This window comes from Homo sapiens, chromosome 3 (genome assembly GCF_000001405.40).
Source record: "Homo sapiens chromosome 3, GRCh38.p14 Primary Assembly".
NCBI lineage: Eukaryota > Metazoa > Chordata > Mammalia > Primates > Hominidae > Homo > Homo sapiens.
The window spans coordinates 189,098,239-189,117,365 of NC_000003.12; the positions used below are offsets into that span (position 1 = coordinate 189,098,239).

At 39.0% G+C, this 19,127-nt stretch overlaps 1 protein-coding gene and 1 long non-coding RNA gene across 9 annotated transcripts in view; one reads left to right on the forward strand and one right to left on the reverse strand.

The window, feature by feature from the left end:
* The window catches only part of LOC107986167 (uncharacterized), a 37,180-nt gene extending 34,359 nt beyond the window's left edge, over positions 1 to 2,821 (reverse strand). The window contains exons 1-2 of the long non-coding RNA XR_007096249.1: positions 2,798 to 2,821; positions 767 to 941 (exon numbers count right to left, since the gene is read on the reverse strand). This is a non-coding gene — a long non-coding RNA (uncharacterized LOC107986167). The remainder of the gene's footprint in view (positions 1 to 766; positions 942 to 2,797) is intronic.
* Positions 1 to 19,127, forward strand: part of TPRG1 (tumor protein p63 regulated 1) — a 328,078-nt gene that overhangs the window by 101,012 nt on the left and 207,939 nt on the right. For 5 of the 8 annotated variants that reach the window (XM_047448032.1, XM_047448034.1, XM_047448028.1 and 2 more), the window contains exon 1: positions 1,852 to 1,966. The gene's annotated coding sequence lies outside the window, so the exon portion shown is untranslated. Of the gene's footprint in view, positions 1 to 1,226; positions 1,275 to 1,714; positions 1,967 to 19,127 lie in introns of those variants that run through there. The other 3 variants (XR_001740120.3, XR_007095667.1, XR_007095668.1) reach the window with 2 other exon arrangements.

The window sequence follows — 19,127 nt, forward strand, 5'->3', positions numbered from 1 at the left end:
GAACTAAGGAGGAGTGAACAGGAAGGGAAATAAATGAAGAAAAACAGGGACAATACGAGTAAAGAAAATAAGACGAAAGGAAGGGGGATCCTGTGGTAGGAGAGCATGATGTCATCTGCTAGAAAGGCTGTGAACCAGGAGATCTGGGTTCAGCAGGGCCACATCCAGCTTCTATCCTTGCAAGACTCTATATCCTCCATGGGTCTCACATTTTTCCTTCTGCAAAATGAGATGGCTGAGAGGGGAAGAGAGGGTACTGGGGGCAGACAAGAACGTCCAGGGGATGGGCTTCCAGGAAAGCCCCTGCACTCCCAAAATTGTGAGTAAAATCTTGGGTGTTCAGAGGTTTTTTTTTCCCAGGACAGGGAGTGGGTTGTTCTCATAAATTACTCAAAGGTCTCTTTACCAAGCTGGATGAAGAAGCGCTGGTTTGGATGGTTTATGATCTTTTGTGGCCCCAAAACTTTATGATTCTTGCATAGAAGTAGAGCCCGCATTCTGATTCTAAACTAATTTCCAAGCCTTGTGGTTTCACCATCATTGCCTTTGACCCTGAGCAAAATTCAACATGAAGTCTCTGGCCTTATAACAATTTGTTTTTCCCTATGTAGAAAAAAATTAATGAAACAACAATCCCTGAGAGTCCTGAACCCTTGTCACCCTGCAGTGTCTGGCAGGTAGAACAGGTGGAAAATCAGAATCTTTGGGAGCCACCCAGCCCAGCTGCTGCCCCAAACAAGCTGCAAGCAAACAGAGACGGCTTTACCCTGCGTGCTACAGCCGCAGCTCCTCTGGTCCCAGCTTGTTGACTTGGTCCCAGAGAAGGAACAAAGCTGTCCAAGTCCAATGAATGGCCGGCAGTGGAAAACCAGTGTTGCTGTCTGTTGGCAGGCAGGGCGGCCGACACCACACTTGGTCAGCTCCCCACAAGCGGCGCTCCCCTACCCCCACCATGGCTAGCTTTGGCAGGCGTTGCCAGGCCTGAGAACGCAGGAAGTTTTGGGTCACGGTGACCTCTAGTTGTTGATGCCAGATGAAATATGCCCTGGAGGTTCTCCAGTGTCACATGGTGTGTGGAGCAAGAAAAGGCAGGGTTGCTCTTGCGCTGACGAAGTGGATTTTGGTTCCCAAATGGCACCCCTTGGGGAATAGGAGGGGTTGTGGGTGGGAAGGGGGGCAGGCAGGCCGAGCGGTGGTGTGAGAGTGGGCAAGGGAGGATTAGTTTTGCATTTTTCATCTCCTTCAGCCTTCCAGGAAGCCGCTTCCTCCTGGAGGTGGAAGCATACCCCCAGATTTGTGGCGTGGGAATTTGGGGAAAAGTTTCTGCGGTGTTTTAGTTGTTTATGTGGTGGTGGGGGTGGATTTCTAGCCCTATACATGCTGGGTCTCATAGCTGGATAAAAGCTATGTAACATGTGGGGCCTGACCTACAGCCCCGCCGGTAGCTCAATTGCTTAAAATGGAAAGGACGTCAACCATGGTTGCTCAGGGGAGGGGGTGCCACCTCCAGACCCAGATTGCTTTCAGCTACTACCCGGGAAAACGATACTGTCCCTTTCCATCCTGCTGAAATCTCTCTTCATCTTGTTTACACATGTTGAGTTATCTAGTCCTGTTTTTCTGAATTCCAAACACTTAGAGGAGGCTCAGTGGCTCCCAAAGGAGACCTCTACCAGAAGTCCAGTGATGGACACCTGTCTTTTGTCCCACGTAGGTCCATCATGCCTAAATACAATCTCTATGCCTTGTCCTGGGCAGGAGGATGAGGCTTGGCTACGTTCCCTTTCACGAATCAAGACGAGAGGACTGAAAGAGAAACAGCTGAAAAGAAGGAGCCAAATAAAAAACAAGATCCAGCTGGAGGAGTTCAGGCCCGATAAGCAGGCTTGAAAAAGAGGTCAGGCCCCAGGAGCTGGGCTGGAGCAGTGAGGAGTGTTTCTTCCAAGAGAAGATGACTGCCTGAGAGGTAGGTGGGCTCTAGTCTGCTGCCCCACACCCAGCTTCAGTTGCCACAGGGAGGCCTTTCCAGTTTTCCCTCCTTCTCTCCTGAAGGCCAAATTGCCTCAGCTGCATTGAAATGGAGACAGAAAGGGTATATCTGAGATGTAGAGGGAAGGTATCTTTGGGGAAAATGAAAAATCATTCAAGGGTCATCTCCAATCTCACCTCCTCCAAGAATCCTTGCCAAATCTCTCTCATGGGTCTCGGCTCTCTCTCCACCCTCCTCCATAGCAGTTCATGTCTTGGTTCTAGTATATGTCTCTAACTGTCACATAATGAATTATTTGGTAATGGTAGTAAGATAATATTTGCACAGTGTGTCTTCCATTGCAAAATGTATTACTTTTGCAAATAGTAACTCGTTTGCTCTCTGTAATGACCCTGAAAAGTAGCTAGTAGTTATTGATAGTTTGCTTTATTTAGAAGTAGGGTGGTACAGAAAGCACAGACCTTGGCTCTGTCAGATTAAGGCTTGAATTATAAACCTTGTGATTGGCTGACTATGAGAGCTTGGATAGCCTTCTTGACCAGTTCAGACAGCGGTTGGCCCCACCAAGAGAAATCTGTGCCCTCTCATCTGCCAGTGGGGCCACTGCGGCTTCCACCGCAAGCTAAGTTTCTGGTAAAAGAAAATCCTGCCTTGTACATCCAGAAAAATATTAGCTTGGAGGCATCCTATTTTCACAACATACTATTTGGAACTCTGAGCAAATGCCATGGTTTTCTAGCATCAAAACAACTTTATTCCAAAGTTTCTTTTGGAAATTTGAAGGCCATGCACTCTGCCAGGCCTCACATTCCAGCTCTCCTTGGCAGCCATGCCCTTGGGTCATTACAGCTCCTCTCTCACATACCTGCATCCATGTCCTGCTTTGATTTCTCTTCGCTTTCCCTCCTGTGTCCTCCCCCTTCCAACTCTTTTCACAGTACCCTTGAAGTTTGCCTGTTCATGCCAGCGAACCCTCACAGTTTTAGTCTCTTTATAGAGTTCCTTCCCTATCTTCTGCCCTAATTGAAACTTGGTCTCCCCTACTTGTTGGAAGTCCTCTTAATGGTCTTCTAAGACATGTAAAGTCTCACCCTAAATTTGGAGCTATGTGACTTTTTCTTATATCCCACATTACTGTTCCAAAATGTTATTCTTCCTGCAATTCAACATTTATCTTAAAAAAAAAAATTAGGTATTTGGCGACACCATCCAAGTCCTCCACATTTCACACTCACCCCCCACTGTCAACCATGGACCTCTGGCAACCATGGACCTCTTAATTTCTCTCCACAGTCATTGAATATTTAAAAACACAATTTGCAATTCTCCTTCTTTCCTTAAGCCCTACCATCATTCTGGATGGTCAATATTCGGGACCATCCAATTCCTTGACTTTCAGAAACTTCAGGATCTCATTTTCTAACCACAAGCCTTGATCATTGTGTATCTCACCCCCTTCATCTGTTCTCTGATATCTTTTAGAGTCCTTGGGCTGTCTGCACCAAACTTCTCCAACCTAACATTTTTGTTTGTTTTCTTTTCAAATTAATAATAAAAATAATAATAAATAAATAATAATAAAAATTAATAATAAAAATAATAGCAAATATTTCTTGAGTACTCAGTACTTGGTGTGCTGCATGATCAGATTTTTACGTACATCTTTTTAGTTGCTATATACAACCCTATGAGTTAGGTGCTGCTATTGTTTTATTTTAATTTTTTTGCAGATGAGAAAACTAACAAATAGAGGTACTGAGTTGGGATTTGAGCTCAAATATTCTGGCTCTAGAGAGGATATTACTACCATGTCTCTCCTCTCTCTATCTCTTAAAAGTCTTTGTGTTGGGGGTTTCAACCTTGGTCATCCTTTTCATTCCACACACTTTTTCCAAATGTCCTGCTCATGTGCTCCTATATTCAGTTAACACCCAATTCTGTAATTTTAGTGTTATTGTAGAAAACATTCCCCTGGCCTTTCTTTGGCCTCAGTTTCCTCATCTGTGAAATGAGAGTAATGATAGTTTCTACCTCCTAGGGCTGTATGTAGTAAGCAAATGTATATAAAAAGCTGACTTTTTATCTATCTCCAGAGCCAGCTTCTTATTCACCATCTACATTTCCACTCAAATGGCCCACAGGCATCTCACACACAACATGTACCAAGCTGCATTCACCATGCCTCACATGTTCCAATATTGGTGGCTTTTCCCTCTTATCCATCCAATTTCCTTGTGAATAGTTTTCTTCTTCTTTCTCAGCCCTACATGTTACCTGTCTCTAAGTTGTGTTCCATCAGTTCTAGTATGTAAATTGACTCTATTGCCTAAATTCAGGCCCTCATCCCTTCACGTCTGAATAATTGCCATGTTTTCCTACCTGGAATCCCTCCCTGTTCCTACTTTTTATAGCTTTAAGAGATAATTAATTTTTTTAAAAAAGAAGGAATCAGACGATGTTCATTCTGTTTGTTTTAAATTCTTCCATGGTTCCCCAAAGCTTTTAGGATAAAGTTCAAATTTCTTTGTTTATTAATTTTTTTAAAACTTTATCTTGCTTTTGTGCTTCATCATGTTAATATTTCTTGCCATTTTTCCTAACACTTATTTTGCCCAATCATGGGGAACTTCTGGTAGGTCCTCAAACGCCAGGGTCTACCAAAGCTCATTGCACTTGTAAATGCTGATTTTTCTGTTCATCTCTCCTTGCTCTGGCTAACTTCCTCTTAAACTTGTCTCAGCTCAGGTGTCATCTTTTGCAGAAATATATTTTTCTTGATGCCTGTGGTTTATTTTGGTGCTTCGTCTGTAATTCCAGAGCACCTGGTACCTATTTCTGCCAATCAATTAACTCTCCACATCATGATTCTCAACTTTACTTTGCCTCCAAATACCTAGAGCCAGGGTGGCAAACAGCAGCCCAGTGACCAAAGTCATCCTGCCACTTGTTTTTGTAAATAAAGTTTTATTGGAACAGAAGCATGCCCATTCAGTGTGCTCTATGGCTGATTTTGGATAAAAAGAGCAGAGTTTAATTGTTGTAACAGAGTCTATGTATCCCCCAAAGCTAAAATATTTACTATTTGACCTTTTGCAGAAAATGTTTGCAGTCCCCTTTCATCTATTACTGTGCATCACTATTACAAAATTCTTAGCCAGAGATGCCAGACCCTGAGGGAGAAAGTGGATCAAGATCTTGCAGAGGAGGAGTGTCAAGGGAAAACTAGAGTTGGATGATTCAGATACATACCCTAGGGGATCATGTTCCTTCCCTACACCACGGACAATCATTCCATGTGTCCTTATGAAATATTTCTTATATATCATGAGACAGAGACTGTATGTTTTTTAATCTTTTGGCTTACATGCCTAACATGGTGACAGACTATTAGAAGTAAAAATAAGCCAGAAAACAACCCCCAAAAGCCAAGCTCACACCAAAAGAATTTTTTGAAGGATACTGGGATATAATCAGGGGGTCTAAGAAAGAGGTGAACACCCAGTTCTTGAAAAGACACAGCAATGATGTGGAGTAATGATTGTTATCAGGATCCAGCCTCTGTCTTGTGTCTCTGCTGTTTCTCATCATGTCAGCTTCATCTTTCCCTTTCACCGTGGACTTCCTCTAGCTGGCAAAAATCACGGCCCATCACAGTTCCTGAGTTTTTCATTTTATAGTTTTCAGTCATTGATGAGCCTTTATCCTGACTTTGTCTTAGTCCCATATTCCAAAATACTAAGTCAGTTTACCATTGATGTGGTCAAGGAAGAGGGGTTAGGTGAGAAAACAGAAATGTTAGTGATACTTATGGATAGACTAAAGATAGAGGATGAGCCAAGAACGAAAGAGGTACTGTTCCCAGAATAAGGGAGAGCTACATAGACAAGGCAGTAGGTGTCCCCATGGTAGCTCCTGGTAGATGCCCCCCAACAGTAGCACTTAGGAGGTGCTTAACTGATGTATGTTGACTCAATAAATAAAGAAAGAAATTAACCTCTTTGAGCCTCTTCTGTGAGATGAGAATAGCATCTACCTCACAGGCTTGTACTGACGATAGAGCACTAACCACAGTGCTTGACAGGCGTAGATATTCAGTAAATGCAACCTAAATATCCTAGCACTCATCTGGGTTGGAATTGCAAAGGGAAATTAAGGGAGAATTTATTACAGCAGATTATCTTTTAAAATTCAATCAGCATGATTATCCAATAAAATTTTAATCAAACTCTATGTCCCATCTTGTCTTCTAATCAGACTTAAGTCAACATAAATATTAGCCCAGGACTCTCACTTGGCTCAGTCTGAGTTGGCGCATTCCCTAAGGGAAACTGTAGGGTGTCAGAAGAAAGCCCCGATTTGTACCTATAAGAGACTATATTTACTTGTTCAGAAGACGAACAGAAACTGGAGATTAAGAACCCTCGGTCTACTAGATCAATGTCTACTGTTTCACGAGTTAAGCTTTAGCTTCCCTGTTAACCAGACTAGCTCACACAACATATACCCACCTGAACTATTAATGTGTGCATTTTCTTGGATGTGCCTCCTTCCTTTGGACAGTATTGCTCTTTGTCTCATATTTAAAATGCCTTCCTCTGCCCTGTTACCTTCATCTGCATAACTCCTCAACCTTCAGGGTCTCCTCTGGCTCCATAATTTTACTGACCCATCCCCATCAGCTTTGAAAAATCATAATTCAAGTTTTTCCAAGACCTGATACAGAACACTTTGGCACAAGCCAGGTACCTGGGTCCTTCTACTCTAATTCCCTAACCAAACTCTTTCTTCTAAACTCATACTGAGAAATGCTAAAGATTTCCAATAAAATTTCTTTTCATGGCTCAGTGGTTTGTAGAAACCGTTTATAGTTTACAAAGCTCTCTACAACTCTCTGATGTTGGTGTTATTAAGGACATCCCACTCCTGATCAGAATTTCTAATTGATCGATAATTTGGGGAGATGAGACTTGATTTTACTGAGAATAGTGTCCTAAATCTTTCGTTAAGGAGGCTTTTTTCAATGGTATGTCTCAGTGCTAGAAGAAACTCTAAAGCTTACTCATGATGTTGGTCCTGAAAAGCACCTGAATCTTCTCTATATGGCCCTCAGATGGAATGTAATCTGTACTGAAATTTATGGCTTCTGAATTGACTTCCAGAGGAATATCCATTTCTCCACCCTACCATATTAGACATCTCCCACTATTAGCTCTTTTTCATGCATTGAGGCACACTTTGCCCCCCTGCTAACTTACCATAATGAGCCTCTCTCATATCCATTAGAGAGAATCTAAGTTCCTCTTCTACATATGAGTTTGAGTAGGTATGTGGTAGGTATGTGGGGTCAAGATAGCATCTCCCTCATTTTCCCTTTTCTATCCCCAACAACCTTGGGAACTTCAACTGCTGGTTTTGAGTCTACTTTGCTTTTTCTCAGGATATATTCTGGTCTACCAGTTTTACTGTTTTAAATTCTTAAATTTAGCAAGCTGATTTTCTTTGAAGCCTACGGAATAGAGGGTGTCAAAAATGTCCTTCCGACATAATAATTACTAAGTATATAGAGATTAGAAGCTTACTTTGGATATAGAGACTTTCTAAATTGGAAACATTTTTTGAAGACAGGAAATTCAGCCTAAGTAAAACCTAGTGTGTCCACTGGGGCATGTTGGGTTTGGGGAGGGAAAGTATCAGGAAAAATAGCTAATGCATGCTGGGGTTAATACCTAGGCGATGGGTTGACAGGTGCAGCAAACCACCATGATACATGTTTACCTATGTAACAAACCTGCACATCCTGCACATGTACCTAGGAACTGAAAATTCAACAACAACAACAACAAAAACACTGAAAAACAAAGACACTGTTCTACCAGAAACAAAACAAAACAAAACAAAAAAACTAGTGTGTCGATATTCACAATTGTTTTGGTTTATTCTTAAAAGCAGTATGAGATCATTATGATGACCACATAAATGAAAAACAGTAACAGTCATTCTGGCCTTCTAGTACCTTGAAGATGTCCAGTTACTTCAAAGCCTTTGAATGTGCTTTCCCCCTTCCCCCACCCTGGGAATATTGTCTGCAACCCCAACCCTCCAAATTTTGGTCTGCCAACTTTTCATACTTCAAATCTCTGAAAAGCTTTTTCTTAATTATCTTGTTGCCCCCGACCCCAGTCCTAATCTAAATTGGGTCACCCATCATAATTTTGTAACCTGCCTTTAAATTTTTCTTATGGCAAATATACAAATTTTAATGGTATATTTAGTGATATGATTATTTAGTGTCTGTCTTTTCCATTAGACTATTAATTTTGGGAAGCAATTCTGTCTGCCTTGTTTACTGTGGAATCCCCAGTGCCTGGCAGAGAGGCTGGTTTGTGTTGGTTGTTCACATAATGTTTCCTGGATGATTGCATGAATGAATAAATGACTATTACATTTGTAATAAATGTAATAAATGATTGTCACACACTGTTTTTCTTCTTCTTTGCTTACATTTGTATATGACCTTGTGTTTTTCAAAGAATTTTCATGTTTCTGTAGTTTTAGGTAGATAAGACTAATTATTACTGTCCCAATTTCCATCTGATGAACCTAGGGCCCAGAAAAATGAAAAGACTAACACAAATTCACATACCTGGTGATGTGTGAAGCTGCAGTCAGAGCCGAGACTACATGTTTACTCTTAGACTAGTGTTCTCTCCTTTAGTAATTTAAAAAATAATATTAGTCTCTTAAAAGATAATTTAAGTGCACATAATGTGATTTTTTTTTTAATCTTGGAAAAAATAGCATTTGTTTTTTTTGGAAGGTTCTGGTTAAAATACAATACCCTGACTTTTTAAACAGAATTTTACTGTTTAGAGCTGTTTTAGGTTCACAGCAAAATGGAGCTGAAGGTACAGATATTTCCCATTTACCTCCTGCAATACCCTGACTTTTATGACTTCTTTTCTTTAGGTGACCTATTATATAGGGGAATGTGAAGGGGAGATCTCACTTAATCCCATTTTTGGGGGTGCCTTCAGGACCTCAGGCAGCCTATATGCAATATATCTTGCTTAAAGGCAGAAAACAGTTTTTTGCATCTGAACACGTTTATATATGTTCTTGTGAGAGAAATTAGTCAAAATTAAAATATTAGTTTTTGTCCAAAGAGTGGCTTAAAAAAGTAAAAATTCTTTCTAAAATACCTTTTGCTTCATACATGTCTAACACAAATTGTCTTCTTTCCTATTCATTTACCTCATTTTACTAATCAAACCTTTACAATAACGTATGGACAAAAAAGCAATACAGCATTATTCCCTTACAGAAATTTCACCCCTTAGCCTTTTTGTTTTCCTATTGAATCATATCAATCTTTTCATATCATTTCAAATTGGTAGTGTCTGTTGTTCATTCACCTGCATTCAGAAAATCATAAGATCCTATTACAGTCACATTAGCACTAACCTGCTTTAAATGAAAAAATGTGCATATCCCTGTAAGTTTTTTACTAAATTGATACATAATTTTAAAAGCATTATTTACCTTGTAGCCTATCTCTCTGATTTATCTCTCAGGGTATAGAATTCTTAAATATGGTATCATTTATTTTTATCTCTCTATGGAATCATCCAGGCTTTGATTCATTATGGAAGAGAAATTTCTTATAATGTAGTATTTTTTCTCACTTCCTTGAAAAAAAATTGCATAGAATCATAAGGTTGTATCGTAACAAGAGATTTTATAGGCCGTTTAAACCAACTCTTTGAATTCCCTGTGCATATGCCATCCAAGGTCATCTATTTGCTACTTGGATACTTTGTCTAATGGGGAGGTCGCCACTTCACTTTAACTATATGCCCTCAGGGATAAACCAGGTTGGTTGCCTATCCAATTATGTATGGTTCCTTTAACTCACCAGCAAATATGGGGCTTTATTTATATCTGTACAGTATGCCCAAGCTTCCTTGAATCCTGGACATCTGGAGAGTGTGCTCTGCAATTGGAGTCAATCTGCGATTGTTTAGACTGTCTGGAAGCAAGGCAGGCTGACTTCATTTGGAGCTGGAAGCAGGGGCAAGCTGACAGCAACTTATAGAACATGGAGATTCCTGGCTAGCTGCTTGCTAGAAAGAAAATGTTTTAAGTGAACTTAGGTTTCCAGATGTCCCACTAAAAAGTACATAATTGCCATGACAGAGGATGAAAAAAGGAAAATGTGTAGTATGTGAATTAATTACTTTTTCTCTGATTATTTTTTACTTAACATTTGGCAGCACAGTTTCCATAAATTTTATTTTTTAGAACGTGTTTTTTTTTTTTTCGCCTCGGAACAACTGTACGGAATGCTGATAGACCCACAGCTTTTCTTAGTAAGATTTTTATGTGCATTCTTTTTCACTTAGTTCACACATTATTCCATATACTAAAAATTCTTTGTTTCTGCTTTCTGAAGAATAGCATAATTTTATAACATAAAATAATTTCAACAATATCAAATCAATAACCAACATTTATGGTACCTTATGAAATAGGATAGCTTGCTCAAGTATTTCTATCTTCCTGTAAAAGAGAGTGCAATAAAGGTAGCGCCTTTAAAAAACTTTTAAGCAGGTGAGGTGGAGCTGCATTTGAAGACACCAATCTGTTTTTCCTAGCGGTGTTTCCATCTTGCTTTGCTCTCCTGCACCCCTGTAGTTAACTCTGTGCTTGATTGCCTCAGGGGAGGCAGGAAAAGGGCTGAACTCAGAAATAGCCTGCTTGTCTTTCTGACATTTGTCATGAAGAAGCCTAAGCCCTCAGGGGAACTTAGAGAGTTTTGCGGAGAAGGTAAAAGTTGGTATTTAAGGGTATAGACAAAGTATTTTGGTCAGAAACAAGCAGAGGAGAGAGCAGAGTATTCCTCTGGGCTGTGTGGGAGACAGAGCAGAGAGAGAGGGAAGGAGAAGAGGAGGAAGGGATGAATGAAATGGATCAATGAAAGATTTCTGTCGTCCGGAGGAAGGATTCTGCCTTTGCTTTACAGCAGTGCTGATGGACCATCAGCAAGATCCTAAAGAGGAAACGACTGTCTAGTGCGTGTGGTGCGGTGTTAATTGACACACAGTAGCCTTGTAAGAGTGACGTGGAAACAATGGGAGTTACCTGGAGTTACCAGATGTAATCGCTCATATGTCCTGGGACAAGGGATGCAGCAACGTGTGTGAACCTGAGTACTGATCCCTGGCAACCTCTGCTCCCACCTTGCTACTGCACAGTTAATGGCATAAATTTTGGAGAAGCAGAGACAAAAGATAATTCTCAGGAAGAACTGAAGATAAGTTCATCCACCAGTCCAGCAGAATAGAAACTCAGGAAAAAGTATTACAATGAATTATAGAAAATGAACGTATAATACATTTAAGTGTGTTTACTGAGAGGCACACTTGCTTACAATCAATAACTATTTTTCTTTTTTCCCCACCTAAAAAAATTAAGGTAAAATTTACAGACATTCCCTTTTAGTACACAATTCTATGAGTTTTTGCAAACACCCAGTCTTGTAACAACCACCACAATCAACATGTAGAACATTTCTCTCACTCCCCTAAATTCTCCAGTGCTCCTTTGTAGTTAATCCCTCTCTCCTGGCAACCATTGATTTGCTTTTGCCCCTTTTGCAAGAATGTCAGAAATTGAATCATAAACTATTAAGCCCTATGAATCTTATTTTTCTTTGAATAATGCATTTGTAATTCATTCATGTTGCATGTATCAGCAGTTTGCTCCTTTTTATTCCTGAGTAGTATTTAATTGTATGTATGTACCACAGTTGTGTCCAGCTTTTGTGGTTGCAAATAAAGCTGCTATAAACATTAGCATACAGGATTTTGTGTGAATATAGGTTTTCATTTAACTTCGGTAGAAACTACAAGTGGGATTGCTGCATTGTGTAGTATATGTTTAACTTGGTAAGATTCTGCCAAATAGATTTTCAAGGTGGCTGTAAGTTTGCATTCTCATCAACAATGTATGAGGAGTTCTAGTTACTCCACCTTATATTGCCAGTTTAAATAAATTCGTTATGTTAAGTGCATAACAGTATCTCATTGTGACTTTAATTTTCATGGCTTATTTGCCATTTATATTTATGATACATTATCTGTTCAAATGTTTTGTCCACTTTTAAATTGGTTTGTAAATGTTGGGTTTTTAGACTTCTTTTTCTATTCTGGTTACAAGTCCATATCAAACATATCATTTGGAAAAATTTTCTCTCAGTTTGTGCTTTGTATTATCTTCCTACTGGTATCTTTTGAAGAGCAAAAGTTTTTATATTTGATTAGGTAAAATATGTAAAAAAAAATTTGGCTTAGACTTTTGATGTCCTATCTAAGAACTCTTTGCTTATTCCACAGTTACAAAGTTTTTTGGTATTTTTTTAATTCTGCTTTTTCTTCTGGAAGTTTTCTAGTTTTTACACAAAAGTTTGATAATTCTAGGTTTGTGATCCAATTTCAGTTAAGTTTTTATAAGGTACAAAGTCTGTATCTAGGTATTTTGTTTTGCTTTGTGCAAATGGGCATTCATTGTTCCAGAAATATTTGTTGAAAAGACTACCCTTTCTTTACTGAATTGCTTTTGTACCTTTATTGAAACTTGGTTTTCCACATGTGGATCTGCTTTTGGAGTCTCCACTGTGTTCATATATATTTATATTATATAATAGATATATAAAACCTTTCTTTAATACCAACTGGTTTGACTATTACAGCTTTAAGTAAGCCTGGAAGTTAAGTAGTATGAGTCTTCCAAATTTGTTTTTGCTTTGAAAAATATTCCAGCTATTCTTTTTTCTCTGCCTTTCCTTGGAAATTTTAGAATCAGCTTGGCAATTTCTAAAAAAACAAACAAACAAAAAAAATCTTACTAGAATTGCATTGAATCTGTAGGTTAATTTGGGGGAAATTAACATATTAATAATGTTGAGTCATCTGATCCATGAACATAGTATATATCTCCTTTTATTTAGGTCTTCTTTGATTTCTTTTGTCAGTATTTTGTAGTTCTCAGTATAAAGGTCTTAGAGATATTTTGCAAGATTTGTACATAAATATTTCAGGCTTTTTGTTGCTATTGTAAATTATGGTTTTAAAATTTTAATTTTCAAGTGTTCATTGCTAGTATAGATGATCCCCTACTTATAATGGTCCAACTTATAATTTTTCAACTTTATGTTGGGTTTATCAGGATTTAGCCTCATCATAAATGGAGGGGCTTCTTATTTATGATAGGGTTATAATTTCTACTGAATGTATATTGCTTTCACACCATCATAATATAAACAAATCTTGTCTAATAATTGTTAGCCAGGGACCATCTGCTATGTTGCCAGCATTAAATGAATTTTCAACTTATGATATTTTTTATTAAAATAGACATTTCAGGATGTAACTTCATCGTAATTTGAGAAGCATTTGTATACAGTAACATGATTGCCCGTGTATCCTCTACCTTTGCTAAAATCACTTATTAGTCCTAGTAGGTTTCTAAAGTATGTTTTTGAGATTTTCTCTTTTGGCAATCATGTTACCTATGAATCAAGTCTTGCCTTGTTGCACTGGCTTAGACTTTCAGTATATTGTTGAATAGAAATACTGAGAACATCTTTGCCTTGATTCTGGTCTTGGGGAAAAGCATTCAGTTTTTCATCATTTGATATTATCGTAACTCTTCTGATGGTGCCCTTTACATGGTTGTGGAAATTTTCTTTTATTCCTAGTTTTCTGGGAGTCTTTAATCATAAATGAATGTCAGATTATGTCAAAGGCTTTCTTTGTGTCTATTGATATGATCATTTGTTTTTTTCCTTTGTATTCTGTTGATATGATGAATTACGCTAACTGATATTTGAATATTGAAACTGCTTAGCATTTTTGGGACCAACTCCACCTGGTCATGATGTGCTATACTTTTTATAGGCTATTGAATTTTATTTGCTAGTACTTTGTAAGAATTTTTGCATCTATGTTTGTGAGAGATATTGGTCTATAATTTTCTCTCTTTCTTGGCATGGTTTTGGCATGGAGGTAATGCCAGCCTCATAAAATTCATTGAAAAGTGTTCCTGTTCACTCTGATGGTAGTTTCTTTTGCTGTGCAGAATCTCTTTAGTTTAATTAGATCCCATTTGTCAATTTTGGCTTTTGTTGCCATTGCTTTTGATGTTTTAGACGTGAAGTCCTTGCCCAAGCCTATGTCCTGAATGGTAATGCCTAGGTTTTCTTCTAGGGTTTTTATGGTTTTAGGTCTAACGTTTAAGTCTTTAATCCATCTCGAATTAATTTTTGTATAAGGTGTAAGGAAGGGATCCAGTTTCAGCTTTCCACATGTGGCTAGCCAGTTTTCCCAGCACCATTTATTAAATAGGGAATCCTTTCCCCATTGCTTGTTTCTCTCAGGTTTGTCAAAGATCAGATAGTTGTAGATATGTAGCATTATTTCTGAGGGCTCTGTTCTGTTCCATTGATCTATATCTCTGTTTTGGTACCAGTACCATGCTGTTTTGGTTACCGTAGCCTTGTAGTATAGTTTGAATTCAGGTAGCGTGATGCCTCCAGCTTTGTTCTTTTGGCTTAGGTTTGACTTGGCGTTGCAGGCTCTTTTTCGGTTCCATATGAACTTTAAAGTAGTTTTTTCCAAATCTATGAAGAAAGTCATTGGTAGCTTGATAGGGATGGCATTGAATCTATAAATTACCTTGGGCAGTATGGCCATTTTCACGATATTGATTCTTCCTATCCATGAGCATGGAATGTTCTTCCATTTGTTTGTATCCTCTTTTATTTCCTTGAGCAGTGGTTTGTAGTTCTCCTTGAAGAGGTCCTTCACGTCCCTTGTAAGTTGGATTCCTAGGTATTTTATTCTCTTTGAAGCAATTGTGAATGGGAGTCCACTCATGATTTGGCTCTCTGTTTGTCTGTTATTGGTGTATAAGAATCCTTGTGATTTTTGTACATTGATTTTGTATCCTGAGACTTTGCTGAAGCTGCTTATCAGCTTAAGGAGATTTTGGGCTGAGACGATGGGGTTTTCTAGATATACAATCATGTCATCTGCAAACAGGGATAATTTGACTTCCTCTTTTCCTAATTGAATACCCTTTATTTCCTTCTCCTGCCTAATTGCCCTGGCCAGAACTTCCAACACTATGTTGAATAGGAGTGGTGAGACAGGGCATCCCTGTCTTGTGCCAGTTTTCAAAGGGAATGCTTCCAGTTTTTGCCCATTCAGTATGATATTGGCTGTGGGTTTGTCATAGATAGCTCTTATTATTTTGAGATATGTCCCATCAATACCTAATTTATTGAGAGTTTTTAGCATGAAGAGTTGTTGAATTTTGTCAAAGGCCTTTTCTGCATCTATTGAGATAATCATGTGGTTTTTGTCTTTGGTTCTGTTTATATGCTGGATTACATTTATTGATTTGCTCTCACTCATAGGTGGGAATTGAACAATGAGAACACATGGACACAGGAAGGGGAACATCACACTCTGGGGACTGTTGTGGGGTGGGGGGACGGGGGACGGATAGCTTTAGGAGATATACCTAATGCTAAATGACGAGTTAATGGGTGCAGCACACCAGCATGGCACATGTATACATATGTAACTAACCTGCACATTGTGCACATGTACCCTAAAACTTAAAGTATAATAATAATAAAATAAAATAAAATAAAATAAAATAAAGTGTTCCCATCTATATTATTGGAGAATTTGTGTAGAATTGGTATTATTTCTTGGTCAAGAATTTTTTGCGTTGAAAAGAAAAGCCAGATATTTAATCACATTAAAATTTTTACTTTACTATTCCGTCAGCTAAAATACCAGAACCCCTTATTACATGAGGGAGCTTCTATGAAGATAATTTTATTGTGGGGTGTTTTGAGGATAACTAGTGAATGCAACTCCAGTGTCTCCAGCTCTAGAGCAATCTCTGTTGTTGTTAGATGGAAGGAAACCAACATGTTGGACACAGATGTTGTACCAGGCACCTAGATGTTGCTTGTTTGTTTGTTTGTTTGTTTGTTTGTTTTAAGATGGAGTCTCCCTCTTGTCACCCAAGCTGGAGTGCAGTGATGCGATCTCGGCTCACTGCAACCTCTGCCTCCCGGGTTCAAGCGATTCTCCTGCCTCAGCCTCCCAAGTAGCTGGGATTACAGGCACACACCACCATGCCTGGCTAATTTTTGTATGTTTAGTAGAGACAGGGTTTCACCATGTTGCCCAGGCTGGTCTTGAATTCCTGACCTCAGGTGATCTGCCCTCCTTGGTCTCCCAAAGTGCTGGGATTATAGGAGATCACTGGTTTTATTTCATGAATGACACATAGGGTAAGAGTCCACTCCTCTCATGCCCCCGAATTCCTCCCAAATAAGGATTTGCCCAGCCACAAGGAAGAAGAGGACTAGTGATGCTAATACTAGATGCAGGCTTGGCCTGTGTCATTGAGATGGAGCCCAGTATCCCATTTCTACATTGTCTAATATTTGATTCCTGTCACTTGGTCCAGAAACGTGGGTAATAGAAATGCTATAGAAATTAGTGGTATTTAAGAGTTAAATAGATTGATAACTGGCTTAGTCAGTTATAGCCCTGAGGGATGGCAAGACTCAGAAAATCTCAACTACAACAGGACTGTGAGCTATAGCTGTGGCTGTAAGAAGACAGAAAGAACTCTACTCCTACTGTATCTCTTTTAGAATATAAAGTAGGAATTTCTGTTTTTACACAAGTAAAGGGAAGAGGGCACTTATCCTTGTTTTATTTCACCCCCTGTTGAAGAGACTTGATCCCAGGACACACAAGTTCTCTGACAGGTAGAGGTTGTGGTTGTATTGTGCAGCTTTGCTTAAGGCAGAGTGTATGTGTTCAATTCAGGGGGTGGAGCACAAAAACTGAGAAGGAAGAAGGCATTTTCTATGTAGTAAAACAGCTTTTTAAATTTTTGTCAGTTCTGGAATTATTTCTCAAATGGATCAGAATTTGAGAGAAGAGAGGAGTGTTATTTATTGCCTTCCACTATAAACTTCAACATATTGGCGCATGGACTGGGAACCTTAAGAAATAGTCCCAAGTGCTGATGTTTGCAGGCTGAAATCTAGGAGAAGTTGAGCCTTCCACAGTAGCTAGGGCAATAGCTATAGGCTTTGATAATTTTGTAGGCCAAGCTCTCTTGGGTATTTGACCTTAGTGATTGGCAAGGGCTTATGTTTTGCTTTTGTATCTGGATTTTCACTGGTCCAAAGAAGGCATAGATTTGTCTTGTGGAGTTGTGCTTTATAATGCAGACTTTTAAAGTATTAGCGGTTGTCTAATGGCTCTCTTACACAATATATTCTGCCAGGATTGTAGGCCTGGGCTTTAAACTACAAAAACTGAGACTGTGTTCCACAATGTTACAATGAATGAGACATGGTCTCTAAATTGTATTAGGTATTAGCAGTTAGCATAAGGCCCACCTGAGAAAATTCTGTTACTCTTTATCTTGTTTGGAATTGCATTCACTATGGAGGAGGCCAAGGAGAGAAATACGAAGGTCTAAACTTTATCATCTCTCTTTTTCTCTGTGAGACTTCTTGGGCAGGTTACCTCTTTTAATCTACTAATAATTAAAAAAAATTCCTTTTACAGATGTTTGTCAGGGAAATGTAAATCGAAAACACAATGAGATACCACACCACACCCAGTAGAATGGCTACTATCAAAAAAACAGAACATAACCACTGTTGGCAAGGATGTGGAGAAACTGGAACCCTTGCATGCTGTTGATGGAAATATAAAATGGTATAGCCAGTATGGGCAACAGTATGCTGGTTTCTCAAAAAATTCAAAATAGTATTACCATATGATCCAGCAATTCTACTTTTGGATATATGTTCCAAAGAATTGAAAACAAGGTCTCGAAGATATTATTATTATTATTATTTTTTGAGATGGAGTGTCACTCTGTCACCCAGGCTGGTGTGCAGTGGCGTGATCTCGGCCTACTGCAACTTCCGCCTCTTGGGTTCAAGCAATTCTCTGCCTCAGCCTCCTGAGTAGCTGGGATTGCAGGCGTCCACCACCATGCCCGGCTAATTTTTTTGTATTTTTAGTAGAGTTGAGGTTTCACCATCTTGGCCAGGTTGGTGTTGAACTCCTGACCTCGTGATCCACCCACCTTGGCCTCCCAAAGTGCTGGGATTACAGACATGAGCCACCGCGCCCAGCTCGAAGAGATATTTTTACACCCATATTCATAGCAGCATTATTCACAGTAGCCAAAAGGTAGAAGTAATCCAGTGTTCATTGACAGATAAACAATATGTAGTATGCATGTACAACAGAATAGTATTCAGCCTTAAAAAGGAAAGAAATTCTGACATTTGCTATGACTTGCATGAACATTGGTGACATGCTAAGTGAAATAAGCCAGTCATAAAAAGACAAATACTGTATGATTCTATTTACATGAGGTACATGAAGTAGTCATATTCATAGAGATAGAAAGTGGAATGGTGGTGGATAGGGCCTCAGGAAAGGGATGAATGGGGAGTTGTTTAATGGGTGTAGAGTTTTAGTTTTCAAGATAAAAAGAGTTTTGGAGACTGGTTGTAGAACAGTGTGAATGTACTTAACAGTACTGAAGTGTACACCTAAAAGTGGTAAAGATGGTACATTTTATGTTATGTATATTTTACCACAACTAAAAATACAAATAATAAAAAATACTAAAAAAAATTTTCTCAAAGAGAAGTTAGACTTGGCTGTATCCCCTTTACTTTTCATACCAGTTCGCCTGTCCTCCAAGATCTTTACTTTAAGGATGTCTCTTTCTCCAGTTTAAACAGTCTTACTTCCTTTACCTGAGCCAAAGTGTCATGCAAATACTTTATTGGGACTTATAATCTCAGGGCAGGGAGAGAGGAAAAAGAGGGCAATGAGGAAAAGAGGGTAAAGAGGAAAAGAAGGTAAGCATATATAAGGTGGCATGTTACTGAATTGGCCATGTGTTCATAACAAATCATGAGTGGTTGCTCAACCATGTGGGACATAACTGGAAGGACGTGGGAAGACAGATTTCTTTGCCAGCACCTTTCCACCACCTGTTACTCAGTAGT